At 37.9% G+C, this 15,711-nt stretch overlaps 1 protein-coding gene across 52 annotated transcripts in view, besides 1 other annotated feature; it reads right to left on the bottom strand.

Moving 5' to 3' along the window:
• The window catches only part of EHBP1 (EH domain binding protein 1), a 372,610-nt gene that overhangs the window by 199,029 nt on the left and 157,870 nt on the right, over window positions 1-15,711 (bottom strand). The window lies entirely within an intron of this gene.
• Window positions 11,079-11,708: an enhancer, noted in NCBI's record as "H3K27ac-H3K4me1 hESC enhancer chr2:63062886-63063515 (GRCh37/hg19 assembly coordinates)". NCBI's record gives its function as "activates a minimal SCP1, AML or CMV promoter by ChIP-STARR-seq in naive H9 embryonic stem cells {active_cell/tissue: H9 hESC(naive)}" and the evidence as "EXISTENCE:reporter gene assay evidence [ECO:0000049][PMID:30033119]".

Below are 15,711 nucleotides of genomic sequence, written 5' to 3'. Positions count from 1 at the left end.
TCTGTTAAAACCCTCTGCCTACCATGAGGTCAGAAACACAGGTTTCTAGGTTTTTGTTTTGCTTTTTTTCAGAAGCTTCATCATTTTACAGTTTTGTATTTAGGTCTATGATCTATCTTGAATTAATGTTTGCTATTAATTATAATGAACACACTGAATTAATGTATGTGGAGAGGTGGGGGTTGAGGTTCATTTTTTCCATACAAACATCCAGTTGTTCAGCATCATTTATTGAAAAGACCTTTTCCCCCACTGGATTATGCTGACAACTTTGTTGAAATTAATTGGCCAAGCTTGGGTATATTTCAGGACTTTGTTTTGTTCTGTTGATCTATTTATCCTATGCCAATTTGACACTATCTTGATTACTACAGCTTTATAGTAAATTTTCATGTCAGGTAGCATTACTATTATAATTCAGTTCTTTCTCAATATTCTTTTGGTTACTTTGCATCCCCAAATATACTTTAGAATCACTTTTGAATTTCTTTATTTTTAAAAAACACCTGCTAGGATTATGACTGGCATTGAGTTGGATTTACAGATTGATTTGAGGAAAAATGATATCTTAACAATACTGTATCTTCTAATCTATGAACACAGGTTATCTCTCCATTTATTAAGGTCTTCTTTAATTACTTTCAGTAATGTATTATACTTTTTAGTCAGAGGTTTTTCACATCTTATGTCAAATTTATTTCTTAGTCTGTTTTTTATTTACCTCTACTGTAAATGAAATTTTTTAAATTTCATTTTCCAAATGTTTGTTGTTCATATATAAAAATACAGTAGATTTTTCTATATTGATCTTATATCCTGTGAGTTTGGTAGAACTTCAAATATAATGTTGAATGGTAAGAGCAAACATCCTTGCCTTGTTCCCAATCTTAGGGGAAAAGTATTCAATGTTTCACCATTAAATATGATGTTAGCTGTAGCTGTTCATGAATGTCCTTTATCAAAATAAATAAATTCTCTTCTATTGAAACTTTGCTAAGAAACTTGGCATTGAATTTTGTCAAATGTTCCTTTCTGCATCTGTTGAATTGACTATATAATTTTTTTCCTTTATTAATGTGGTTAAACTAACCTTGAATTCCTAGGATAAATCCTTAGTGAACTCATATAGGTACTTTGAATATTAATTGCCTTCTGGCTCCTCCCCTAAATACTGGAAGGCTTCTGACTTCTTTTTTAGAGCCCTCGTTCCCATCCAAGCCCTGTCAGATGGGTTCTCAGCATCAGTAGAATTCTCCCAGAGCCTCAGAAGTCAGGGAAGCTAGATTATGTTTAGTGTCATAAGTACAAATAAAGCAGCATTAGCATTTAAGAGTGACAGAGAAAGCAAGCTGAATTTATAGTCTGTGTTTTCTGCTACTGTTACTATTCTCTGAGTTGACATATTTGAGTTCTAAGACTGCAAAGATATATTCCTGATGACGTCAGTCTCTCATCCTAGGGTTTCAAACTCCTTTAAAAATAAGGTAGCTATGATACCTTATAAACTTATTGGCTAAAGGGATCAGAATTGCCCTACCTCTCTGCTTTCCTCCTATTCCCAACCTTAGTGACTACATAACAGAGGCAGTTTTCCAGATATTCTCATCCTTTTAACTGACCTCCAAAATAGGTGGCCATTTTAATTAATTTTTATTTAAACAAAATTTTTTTTGGCTAAGGCGATCCTCTCATGTCAACCTCCAAGTAGCTGGGACTACAGGCGCATGCCACCAAGCCTGGCTAATCTTTTTTTTTTTTTTTTAATTGAGCCCATAACAATCCTATGATTTTGTTCACGAGATGCCTAGGTACTGGTGGGTGGATGCCAGGTAAAAACCAGGAGCAAATTAATGGTCCTACTCTCTGACCAGAGTCCCATATTTATTTTAAGGAACCTTCTAATAAAAGGTGGGATACCTACTTATCTCCATTCATAGCCCTAGTAAGTAGAATTTAATCTCAGAGGGCTGAGTCATACCATCATCAACTCTAGCTCCTTAATATGTAATTGGTATCTCCTCTACTACCATCTGTGCTGTTAGATTTTGTTCCCTGAAGGTAGCCAAATATGTCACTCTCTCTTCCTTCTCCCAAATTAACTTTATCAACTATGGGAAAAGGATTAACAAACACCAGGAAACATTGCTTATGGTAAAAATCAAACCTGATTGACAAATTGCATCTGGATGGGAAGATTCTGAATGAATTATATAGCTGGTGTAAGGCCACAGGTTTTAGCTTCTTTGAATGTAGAGACTCTTATAAATGTGCATGTCCCTTATAGGAACCTTGGAAACTGTACCCATGAGACTGGTACAAAGGTATTAGCTCAGACCAGTTAGGGTATTAAAAGGAAAAAAAAAAAAAAGATAATCTGCTCTTGTGTTGCATGGGGATTTTAAGACAAAGCAATCCCTGCTCCTAACTATCTGAATCTTGTCACTTTGTACCCAAGTTGTCATTTGGTGGTAGGGGATAAACAACAGTATTCAGATTGCTGTGAAGACTCTGGTGAAAAAGGAATACCCTGCTGGCATACTGTGTTTCCTATCCAATATCCTTTTAAGTCAATCTAACACTGCTTGGCCTATGTAGGTCATGCGAATGAATCTGAATGTCCAGCTGATTTTAGGTAGACCCCATGGTGATCTTTGCAACACAACAAACTTTAAGAATATCAGGGGTCTTTCAGGAGCCTCATAATGTCTGAGTTCTCTTAACAATGCTTACTGTAAACTGCTTCAGTTGAACTTGATTTTCTGTGATGTATTCATCAGGGCCTTGTCTTTACAATACAGGGGTCTTTATTTTTCTTCCTGTTGGTGTGTATTCAGAAATTCAACATGAATTCCAAAGATGATCATACTGCCAAATACTGGCTCAAGCACTGTGTGACTGCCAGTATTTATTGTTCTGAAACCATATGGTTTCATAATTTCTACTACTGGCTGCAGCAAGCTTTCTATTAAAAGGCATTTTTTCTCCAGCTCCAAGGTCTATCACTCCTGCTACATTTCAGTGATTTTTCCAACTGTAATTCAAAATTCTCCTGCCTATTCACTGGTGCTGTACCTCAGTAAAATGTATCTATAGAAGTAGCATCAATAAATGGTTCCTGCCTGAGAGCTAGTCCCCAGATATGTATCTATTTAGCAGGGGAGTCTGTCTCAGAACAGTGTAGGGATTTTTGATCAGTGCAAGTACAGATACCATGGATTTACTTTCACCTCCTAGCAAAGACTGTAATTTTGGAGGATATGTTTTGTCAAATACTGCTAATTTAACAGCAACTTTCCATAAGAAATTACTCACTACATGAATAACCGTGAGATGTCAATCTAAGAGGTACACAATTGTTAACAGTCTGTTCCCTCAAGAAATTCTGAGCTTTGTTGGAGAAACAATACATTCAATATAATTTTTAGTGATATAATGCAATTGCACTTTATGCATTTAGATTATAATATTAAGATATAATTAACAGGAACAATTTAAAATAATAATTCCTCCATAAAAACTGTGTCAATAACAATTTCAAACTTGGAAGGAAGAGTTAATACAAACTGTATTTAAGTTATTGCCACTTTTGCTGGTAAATAAAAATACTTACCATACTTTATTTGTAACCATGCTTATAAAATATGTCCATTTTGTTTTCTTGAGCTATTATTTTAACATTAATGCATTAAATTTCAATAAACCTTTTATTTGCTAAAACTACTTCACTCAAACACTTTTAAAGTGGTCGTGCTGTTGCTAAAAAAATATATCCCTGAAAGTTAGTAACTTTAGAATGGGATTTACATGTGTTCAAAAATACAACTAAGAAAGCCAAACAACTGCCATAATATGCTGTGCTATTAATTTAGGTTACCATACTCTGCAAACATAATAGAAAATGACAAGAAAAAAACTGTAATATCAAATAAAAAATATGCTACAATGATTGTGAATTTATTAGGACTTAGAACATACATCTAGACACCCACTGCCCCACCCACCCCTTCTTCTTCAACACACACAATTTACATTCATTCCTTTTAGAAAACTAGTTTTGAATTACTGAGCTTTCAATTATGTGTGCCCTCCAGAACATATTCCTTCCATAAAATGGAACCACTCTACCCTGTACAAGATACTATGTGATTAAACGTCAAATGGAACAAGATAAGCCAGAGAGAATGAAGCTTCATTCATTCACTATGGCCTTTCAGTTAAGATATATTCAATTCCTAATATGTTTCAGATAATGTGCTGGAAGCTAGAGATGAAAAAATGATTAGAACATAGTTTCTATTTTCAGGGAATTTCATAAAATATAAAAAATGTAAATAACACAAAATAGAGGCATCCAAAGTTGCCTCAAAACAATTTCTTCAATTAGATTCAGAGAATTTTAAACTGTCTAAAAGAAAATTACTGCTCTTGCAGGAATTTTAGAAAATAAGGAATAGTATATGTTTAATCAACAAGGGTTTAGCTATGAAATCTAATAATTATTGAATCATTACATCTATATTTTCCTTAAAAAACTACTGTTCTCACTCTTCCTTTCAATACTAGTGTAGAAACTGTAACATATTATCATTTTTTCTCCCACTGCTGTGATCAAAATAGCACAATACTGCTCAAAACAACTGCAAATGTGTGGCTTTAAAAATTCCTACTTAAAAGTACCCGTATCTAATTGAGATTTAGTTTTAATCAAAAGCCATCTATAAATAATACACCATATTCTCTAACTAAAAAGATCCAATTAATAACCCACTGGAATTATAAAAACTCAGTCTATAGGAAAATGCCTACATTTGTATATGGTAGTACCATAAAGGATGGAATGGTCAAGCTTAAGAGGCAGGGGGCATCAAAGGCTTCTCAGACTATGTGACAAGTGAATTAAATTTTGAAGGATAGGTATATTACGGTCTGAATGTCAATGTCCCCCCAAAATTCCTATGTTGGAACTTAATCCCTAAGGTGAGGGTATTAGGAGGTGGAGCTTACGGAGAGATCATTAGTTCATGAGGGATCTGCCCTCGTGGATAATACTATTGCCCTTATAAAAGGCTTTAAGGGCCAGGCGCGGTGGCTCACGCCTATAATCTCAGCACTTTGGGAGGAAAGCGGGCGGATCTCCTGAGGTCAGGAGTTCAAGACCAGCCTGGCCAACATGCTGAAACCCCATCTCTACTAAAAATACAAAAATTAGCTGAGTGTGGTGGCACACGCCTGTGATCCCAGCTACTCGGGAGGCTGAGGCAGGAGAATCCCTTGAACCTGGGAGGTGGAAGTTACAGTGAGCCGAGACTGTGTCACTGCACTCCAGCCTGGGCAACAAAGCAAGACCTTGTCTCAAAAAAAAAAGGCTTTGAGGGAGCAAGTTTGTCCCTTGGTCCCTTGTCCCTTTTCTTTGCTGTTCCTTCACATGAAGACACATACAGGGCACCATTACATGGAACAGGCTCTCACCAGATAACAAATATGCAGGCTCCTTCATATTGGACTTCCCATCTTCCAAAACTGTGTGCAATAAATTTCTGTTGATTACAAATTACCCAACCTAAGGTATTTTGTTACAGCAGCCCAAGCAAACTAAGACAAGGTAGAAGGTGAGTGGTAGTACTAGGGGAAAGACACCCACTTATTCTTCTGGAAATACTCCAGATAGCCAAATAACCAAAATAAGAAAGAAAGGAAAGAGAAAGAAAAGAAAAGAAAAAAGAAAAGAAGCCAAAACTCAAAGATGGGAAAGATATCACATTTAAAAAATTATTGCTGCCATCATTATAAAATAAAATGCAAATGTCAGTATATACTATTGAAAAGAATTAGCAAAATGTTATTGAAATAAACATAATAGCCAATGGGGTTGGAGGGAAGGGTTTAAATAAAGAAGAGAATCATACTGCATCTCTCATTCTACAAGAAGAGAGTCAATAAATTTTGCTTTATTTTTTTTATTTTTATTTTTTTATTATAAGTTTTAGGGTACATGTGCACATTGTGCAGGTTAGTTACATATGTATACATGTGCCATGCTGGTGCACTGCACCCACTAACTCGTCATCTAGCATTAGGTATATCTCCCAATGCTATCCCTCCCCCCTCCCCCCACCCCACCACAGTCCCCAGAGTGTGATATTCCCCTTCCTGTGTCCATGTGATCTCATTGTTCAGTTCCCACCTATGAGTGAGAATATGCGGTGTTTGGTTTTTTGATCTTGCGATAGTTTACTGAGAATGCTGATTTCCAATTTCATCCATGTCCATACAAAGGACATGAACTCACCCTTTTTTATGGCTGCATAATATTCCATGGTGTATATGTGCCACATTTTCTTAATCCAGTCTATCATTGTTGGACATTTGGCTTGGTTCCAAGTCTTTGCTATTGTGAATAATGCCGCAATAAACATATGTGTGCATGTCTCTTTATAGCAGCATGATTTATAGTCCTTTGGGTATATACCCAGTAATGGGATGGCTGGGTCAAATGGTAATTCTAGTTCTAGATCCCTGAGGAATCACCACACTGACTTCCACAATGGTTGAACTAGTTTACAGTCCCACCAACAGTGTAAAAGTGTTCCTATTTCTCCACATCCTCTCCAGCACATGTTGTTTCCTGACTTTTTAATGATTGCCATTCTAACTGGTGTGAGATGATATCTCATAGTGGTTTTGATTTGCATTTCTCTGATGGCCAGTGATGATGAGCATTTTTTCATGTGTTTTTTGGCTGCATAAATGTCTTCTTTTGAGAAGTGTCTGTTCATGTCCTTCGCCCACTTTTTGATGGGGTTGTTTGTTTTTTTCTTGTAAATTTGTTTGTGTTCACTGTAGATTCTGGATATTAGCCCTTTGTCAGATGAGTAGGTTGCGAAAATTTTCTCCCATTCTGTAGGTTGCCTGTTCACTCTGATGGTAGTTTCTTTTGCTGTGCAGAAGCTCTTTAGTTTAATTAGATCCCATTTGTCAATTTTGTCTTTTGTTGCCATTGCTTTTGGTGTTTTGGACATGAAGTCCTTGCCCATGCCTAAGTCCTGAATGGTAATGCCTAGGTTTTCTTCTAGGGTTTTTATGGTTTTAGGTCTTATGTTTCAGTCTTTAATCCATCTTGAATTGATTTTTGTATAAGGTGTAAGGAAGGGATCCAGTTTCAGCTTCCTACATATGGCTAGCCAGTTTTCCCAGCACCATTTATTAAATAGGGATTCCTTTCCCCATTGCTTGTTTTTCTCAGGTTTGTCAAAGATCAGATAGTTGTAGGTATGCGGCGTTATTTCTGAGGGCTCTGTTCTGTTCCATTGATCTATATCTCTGTTTTGGTACCAGTACCATGCTGTTTTGGTTACTGTAGCCTTGTAGTATAGTTTGAAGTCAGGTAGTGTGATGCCTCCAGCTTTGTTCTTTTGGCTTAGGATTGTCTTGGCAATGCAAGCCCTTTTTTGGTTCCATATGAACTTTAAAGTAGTTTTTTCCAATTCTGTGAAGAAAGTCATTGGTACCTTGATGGGGATGGCATTGAATCTGTAAATTACCTTGGGCAGTATGGCCATTTTCACAATATTGATTCTTCCTACCCATGAGCATGGAATGTTCTTCCATTTGTTTGTATCCTCTTTTATTTCCTTGAGCAGTGGTTTGTAGTTCTCCTTGAAGAGTTGCTTCACATCCCTTTTAAGTTGGATTCCTAGGTATTTTATTCTCTTTGAAGCAATTGTGAATGGGAGTTGACTCATGATTTGGCTCTCTGTCTGTTGTTGGTGTATAAGAATGCTTGTGATTTTTGTACATTGATTTTGTATCCTGAGACTTTGCTGAAGTTGCTTATCAGCTTAAGGAGATTTTGGGCTGAGACGATGGGGTTTTCTAGATATACAATCATGTCATCTGCAAACAGGGACAATTTGACTTCCTCTTTTCCTAATTGAATACCCTTTATTTCCTTCTCCTGTCTAATTGCCCTGGCCAGAACTTCCAACACTATGTTGAATAGGAGTGGTGAGAGAGGGCATCCCTGTCTTGTGCCAGTTTTCAAAGGGAATGCTTCCAGTTTTTGCCCATTCAGTATGATATTGGCTGTGGGTTTGTCATAGATAGCTCTTATTATTTTGAAATACGTCCCATCAATACCTAATTTATTGAGAGTTTTTAGCATGAAGGGTTGTTGAATTTTGTCAAAGGCTTTTTCCGCATCTATTGAGATAATCATGGGGTTTTTGTCTTTGGTTCTGTTTATATGCTGGATTACATTTATTGATTTGCGTATATTGAACCAGCCTTGCATCCCACGGATGAAGCCCACTTGATCATGGTGGATAAGCTTTTTGATGTGCTGCTGGATTCGGTTTGCCAGTATTTTATTGAGGATTTTTGCATCAATGTTCATCAAGGATATTGGTCTAAAATTCTCTTTTTTGGTTGCGTCTCTGCCCGGCTTTGGTATCAGAATGATGCTGGCCTCATAAAATGAGTTAGGGAGGATTCCCTCTTTTTCTATTGATTGGAATAGTTTCAGAAGGAATGGTACCAGTTCCTCCTTGTACCTCTGGTAGAATTCGGCTGTGAATCCATCTGGTCCTGGACTCTTTTTGGTTGGTAAACTATTGATTATTGCCACAATTTCAGCTCCTGTTATTGGTCTATTCAGAGATTCAACTTCTTCCTGGTTTAGTCTTGGGAGAGTGTATGTGTCGAGGAATGTATCCATTTCTTCTAGATTTTCTAGTTTATTTGCATAGAGGTGTTTGTAGTATTCTTTGATGGTAGTTTGTATTTCTGTGGGATCGGTGGTGATATCCCCTTTATCATTTTTTATTGTGTCTATTTGATTCTTCTCTCTTTTTTTCTTTATTAGTCTTGCTAGTGGTCTATCAATTTTGTTGATCCTTTCAAAAAACCAGCTCCTGGATTCACTGATTTTTTGAAGGGCTTTTTGTGTCTCTATTTCCTTCAGTTCTGCTCTGATTTTAGTTGTTTCTTGCCTTCTGCTAGCTTTTGAATGTGTTTGCTCTTGCTTTTCTAGTTCTTTTAATTGTGATGTTAGGGTGTCAATTTTGGATCTTTCCTGCTTTCTCTTGTGGGCATTTAGTGCTATAAATTTCCCTCTACACACTGCTTTGAATGTGTCCCAGAGATTGTGGTATGTTGTGTCTTTGTTCTCGTTAGTTTCAAAGAACATCTTTATTTCTGCCTTCATTTCGTTATGTACCCAGTAGTCATTCAAGAGCAGGTTGTTCAGTTTCCATGTAGTTGAGCGGCTTTGAGTGGGATTCTTAATCCTGAGTTCTAGTTTGATTGCACTGTGGTCTGAGAGATAGTTTGTTATAATGTCTGTTCTTTTACATTTGCTGAGGAGAGCTTTACTTCCAACTATGTGGTCAATTTTGGAATAGGTGTGGTGTGGTGCTGAAAAAAATGTATATTCTGTTGATTTGGGGTGGAGAGTTCTGTAGATGTCTATTAGGTCCGCTTGGTGCAGAGCTGAGTTCAATTCCTGGGTATCCTTGTTGACTTTCTGTCTCGTTGATCTGTCTAATGTTGACAGTGGGGTGTTAAAGTCTCCCATTATTAATGTGTGGGAGTCTAAGTCTCTTTGTAGGTCACTCAGGACTTGCTTTATGAATCTGGGTGCTCCCGTATTGGGTGCATATATATTTAGGATAATTAGCTCTTCTTTTTGAATTGATCCCTTTACCATTATGTAATGGCCTTCTTTGTCTCTTTTGATCTTTGTTGGTTTAAAGTCTGTTTTATCAGAGACTAGGATTGCAACCCCTGCCTTTTTTTGTTTTCCATTTGCTTGGTAGATCTTCCTCCATCCTTTTATTTTGAGCCTATGTGTGTCTCTGCACGTGAGATGGGTTTCCTGAATACAGCACACTGATGGATCTTGACTCTTTATCCAATTTGCCAGTCTGTGTCTTTTAATTGGAGCATTTAGTCCATGTATATTTAAAGTTAATATTGTTATGTGTGAATTTGATCCTGTCATTATGATGTTAGCTGGTGATTTTGCTTGTTAGTTGATGCAGTTTCTTCCTAGTCTCGATGGTCTTTACATTTTGGCATGATTTTGCAGCGGCTGGTACCGGTTGTTCCTTTCCATGTTTAGCACTTCCTTCAGGAGCTCTTTTAGGGCAGGCCTGGTGGTGACAAAATCTCTCAGCATTTGCTTGTCTGTAAAGTATTTTATTTCTCCTTCACTTATGAAGCTTAGTTTGGCTGGATATGAAATTCTGGGTTGAAAATTCTTTTCTTTAAGAATATTGAATATTGGCCCCCACTCTCTTCTGGCTTGTAGGGTTTCTGCCGAGAGATCCGCTGTTAGTCTGATGGGCTTCCCTTTGAGGGTAACCTGACCTTTCTCTCTGGCTGCCCTTAACATTTTTTCCTTCATTTCAACTTTGGTGAATCTGACAATTATGTGTCTTGGAGTTGCTCTTCTCGAGGAGTATCTTTGTGGCGTTCTCTGTATTTCCTGAATCTGAACGTTGGCCTGCCTTGCTAGATTGGGGAAGTTCTCCTGGATAATATCCTGCAGAGTGTTTTCCAACTTGGTTCCATTCTCCCCATCACTTTCAGGTACACCAATCAGACATACATTTGGTCTTTTCACATAGTCCCATATTTCTTGGAGGCTTTGCTCATTTCTTTTTATTCTTTTTTCTCTAAACTTCCCTTCTCGCTTCATTTCATTCATTTCATCTTCCATCGCTGATACCCTTTCTTCCAGTTGATCGCATCGGCTCCTGAGGCTTCTGCATTCTTCACGTAGTTCTCGAGCCTTGGTTTTCAGCTCCATCAGCTCCTTTAAGCACTTCTCTGTATTGGTTATTCTAGTTATACATTCTTCTAAATTTTTTTCAAAGTTTTCAACTTCTTTGCCTTTGGTTTGAATGTCCTCCCGTAGCTCAGAGTAATTTGATCGTCTGAAGCCTTCTCTCAGCTCGTCAAAGTCATTCTCCATCCAGCTTTGTTCCGTTGCTGGTGAGGAACTGCGTTCCTTTGGAGGAGGAGAGACGCTCTGCGTTTTAGAGTTTCCAGTTTTTCTGTTCTGTTTTTTCCCCATCTTTGTGGTTTTATCTACTTTTGGTCTTTGATGATGGTGATGTACAGATGGGTTTTCGGTGTGGATGTCCTTTCTGTTTGTTAGTTTTCCTTCTAACAGACAGGACCCTCAGCTGCAGGTCTGTTGGAATGCCCTGCTGTGTGAGGTGTCAGTGTGCCCCTGCTGGGGGGTGCCTCCCAGTTAGGCTGCTCGGGGGTCAGGGGTCAGGGACCCATTTGAGGAGGCAGTCTGCCGGTTCTCAGATCTCCAGCTGCGTGCTGGGAGAACCACTGCTCTCTTCAAAGCTGTCAGACAGGGACATTTAAGTCTGCAGAGGATACTGCTGTCTTTTTGTTTGTCTGTGCCCTGCCCCCAGAGGTGGAGCCTACAGAGGCAGGCAGGCCTCCTTGAGCTGTGGTGGGCTCCACCCAGTTCGAGCTTCCGGGCCGCTTTGTTTACCTAAGCAAGCCTGGGCAATGGCGGGCGCCCCTCCCCCAGCCTCGCTGCCACCTTGCAGTTTGATCTCAGACTGCTGTGCTAGCAATCAGCCAGATTCCGTGGGCGTAGGACCCTCCGAGCCAGGTGTGGGATATAGTCTCGTGGTGCGCCGTTTTTTAAGCCGGTCTGAAAAGCGCAATATTTGGGTGTGAGTGACCCGATTTTCCAGGTGCATCCGTCACCCCTTTCTTTGACTCGGAAAGGGAACTCCCTGACCCCTTGCGCTTCCCAGGTGAGGCAATGCCTCGCCCTGCTTCGGCTCGCGCACGGTGCGCGCACCCACTGGCCTGCGCCCACTGTCTGGCACTCCCTAGTGAGATGCACCCAGTACCTCAGATGGAAATGCAGAAATCACCCGTCTTCTGCGTCGCTCACGCTGGGAGCTGTAGACCGGAGCTGTTCCTATTCGGCCATCTTGGCTCCTCCCCCGCTTTATTTTTAATGTAAGTAGAGAAATAAAAGTTTACTCATTTCTTTGTCTGGCTTATTTATTTATTAGAGAGAATACCAGCCTAAAATGAAACTAGGTTATATACCTTCTAAGTTACTCTATGAAAAATGTTTAAATACAGAAAATCTAAGAAAAGCAACATGTAAGGGATGGGTGGAAAAAATAAGAAAAGCCCCAAAATAAAAGTATAAATAAAGTAATATAAATACATTTAAGTATATCAGTTGAAGGGCAAAGCTTATAAAGTTAAATCAACCAAATGCTGTATATAAAAGAAGCACTTAAAATAACACAGATAGGTTAAAAATCAAGTGACAAATATGCCAAGAAAATAAAAATCTAAAAAAACCATTGTTTACAAATATCAACAGGCAAAATTTCAAGGCAAGAGGCATTAAATGGGGCAAACTGATACAAATTATAATGAGGCTTTAAGAGAATAAACTTTTATAGAATAAATAATTAGCAGTGAAGTTTTCTGTCTTTAAAAAAATAAACTATAAAAAAAGATACATATACAGTCATCCCTTCGTGGAGATGGAAGATTGCTTCCAGGAACCCTGTCTATACCAAAATCCATACATCAAGTCCCAAAGCAGGCCCTTCCGAACCCACATATATGAAAAGTGCGCCCTCCATATGTATGTAGGCTTTGTACACTGTGAATGCTGTATTTTCCATGTGTTTGGCTGAAAAAACATATTGTATAGGTGGACCCATGCCGTTCAATCCATGCTGTTCCAGCCTCAACTGTACAGGTATAATCTCAGACATATTGCTAGTCTGGTTCCAGATCACTAAAATAAAGTGAATATTGCAATAAAGTAAGTCACAAAAACTTTTTGGCTTCCCAGTGCATATAAAAGTTACGTTTATACTATAGTCTATTAAGTGTGCAATAGCATTATGTCTAAGAACAACATATATACCTTAATTAAAAAATGCTAACAATCATCTGAGCCTTCAGTAAGTGATAATCTTTTTGGTGTTGGTGGGTCTACCTTGATGCTGATGACTACTGATTAATTAGGGTGGTGGTTGCTGAAGGTTGGGTAATTCCTTAAAATACTTGTTGCCATTTCCTAAACAAGACAACAACAAAGTTTGCTGCATCAATTGAATCCTCCTTTCATTAAAAATTTCTCTGTAGCGTGCAATGCTGTTTGACATTTTACTGACAGTAGAGCTTCTTTCTAAATTGAAATAAATCCTCTCAAACCCTGCCACTACTTTATCAAAGTTGATGTGATATTCTAAATCCTTTGTTGTCATTTCAACAACGTTCACAGCATCTTCACCAGAAGTAGGTTCCATGTCAAGAAGCTACTTTCTTTGTTCATCCAGAGAAGCAACTCCTCATCCATTCAAGTTTTATCATGCGATTGCAGCAATTCAGTTACATCTTTAGGCTCCACTTCCAATGCTGATCCTCTTGCTATTTTTCCACAACTGCAGTTACTTCCTCCACTGAAGTCTTAAACCCCTCAAAGTCAGCCATGAGGATCAGAATCAGCCTCTTCTGTCTTCCAAACTCCTGTTGATGTTGATATTTTGACCTCCTCCCATGAATCACAAAATTCTTAATGGCATCTAGAACAGTGAGTCCTTTCCAAGAGGTTTTCAATTGACTTGGCCTAGATCATCAGAGGAATCACTACCTATGACAGCTACACCTTATAAAATGTATTTCTTAAATAATAAGACTCAAAAGCCAAAATTACTCCTTGAACTATGTGCTGCAGAAACAACACTAATCTCTTTGTACATCTCCATCACAGCTCTTGGGCAACCAGGTACGCTGTCAATGAGCAGTGGTGTTGTTTTTTCAGGGAGTGTACTAAAAAGGAATGAGTAGTAGTATTTTGGAAAGCATCTTTTTTCTGTACGGCAGGTCTCAACAATGGTCTTAAAATATTCAGTAAACCACGCGATAAAAAGATGTGCTAACAAGAGAGTTAACTTGTCGTTTGAAGCTTAGAGGCTCTGAAGCCAGGTGTTGACTTTGTCCCTCTAGCTGTGAAATTCCTAGATGGCATCTTCTTCCAATAGAAGGCTGTATTGTCTACATGGAAAATCAGTGTTTAATGTAGCCAGCTTCATCAATGATCTTGGTGAGATCTTCTGGATAACCTGCTGTGGCTTCTATATTAGCATTTACTACTTTACTTTGCACTTTCATGTTATGGACATGGGTTCTTTCCTTAAACCTTATGAACCAACCTCTGCTAGCTTCAAACTTTTCTTCTGCAGCTTCCTCGCCTTTCTCAGCTTTCACAGAATTGGACAGAGTTAGGGCCTTGATCTGGATTAGGCTTTGGCTTAAGGGAATGCTATGGCTGGTTTGATATTCTATCCAGACCATTAAAGCTTTCTCTGTATCAGCAATAAGGCTTTATGCATTTTTTAAATCTTTTCTGTGTTCACTGGGGTAGAACTTTTAATTTCCTTCTAGAATTTTTTTCTTTGCATTCACAACTTGTTTAACTGTTTGGCACAAGAGGCCTCTGCATTCGGCCTATCTTTGGTTTAGACATGCCTTCCCCACAAAACTTAATCATTTCTAGCTTTTTATTTAAAGGAAAATACATGCAACTCTTCCTTTCACTTAAACACCCATAGGCATTGCAGGGTTATTAACTGGCCTAATGTCAACATTGTTATGTCCCAGGGAACGAGGAGGCCCAAGGAGAGGAACAGAGCCAGGGAACAGCTAGTTGGTGGATCAGTCAGAACACACTTGATTAAGTTTGCTGTCTTAAATGGGTGCAATTCATGGCACCTCAAAATAATTACAATAGTAACATCAAAGATCATTGGTCATAGATCACTATAACAGATATAATAATAATGAAAAAGTGTGAAATATTGCAAAAGTTACCAAAATGACACAGAGACACAGAGAAACGAAGTGAGCACACGCTGTTGGTAAGACTGATAGACTAAACAGACTAAGCTGATAGACTTGCTCAATGTAGGGTTGCCAAAAATCTTCAATTTGTAAAAAAAAAAAAAAAAAAAGAAAAAAGAAAAAAAAATCTGTGAAGTGCAATAAAGCAAAGTTCAGTAAAACAAACTATGCCTGTAATGAGAAGTTGAGTCTAATGATGAATGCGACAAATAGAATATACATGTAAAAACATATTTCTAGAAAATGTATAAATCACATATCTAGACTACAAATAAAAAACCTCAATAATATTTTTAAAACATTTGAAATTCAAGAGACTTTTGAATTTTATTTGAATGAATAAGCAAACAAACTAGAAATAAATAAACAAAGCACATGGTAAAACACACTCTCCAAAACATGGTTGGGCCAAATAATAAATCAAAATTGCAATCACAAATTAGAAAATAATAAAATTTACACATGAAAAAACATCTAATTTTGCACACAAGTCTGAGCAGTTCCTTATGATAGATTTCTTGTTGTGGAATGGAAGTGAAGGTCTTCAGAGTCAAGGAAGTCACATAACTTTTTAGCTGAGTAGTTAAATGAGTGATCCATGGAGTAAATGGAAATCCCCCACATGATAGCAAGAGTTGAGGCAGAACCAAAAGATGAGTAACAAAGTGCCCAAATGAATTTGAAAAAATCACCAGGAGGTAAACAGATGATAGAAGTGAAGGGACATCAATTCAGAAATTGAGAGCAATTAATTTAACTAAAAGGAATATGTAAATTGTGCTTAATTTTCACAGCAATAAT

The sequence above is a fragment of the Homo sapiens genome, chromosome 2 (genome assembly GCF_000001405.40).
Source record: "Homo sapiens chromosome 2, GRCh38.p14 Primary Assembly".
NCBI lineage: Eukaryota > Metazoa > Chordata > Mammalia > Primates > Hominidae > Homo > Homo sapiens.
The sequence above is the reverse complement of the archived record's forward strand: the minus strand, read 5'-3'. Positions and strand labels throughout refer to the sequence as shown.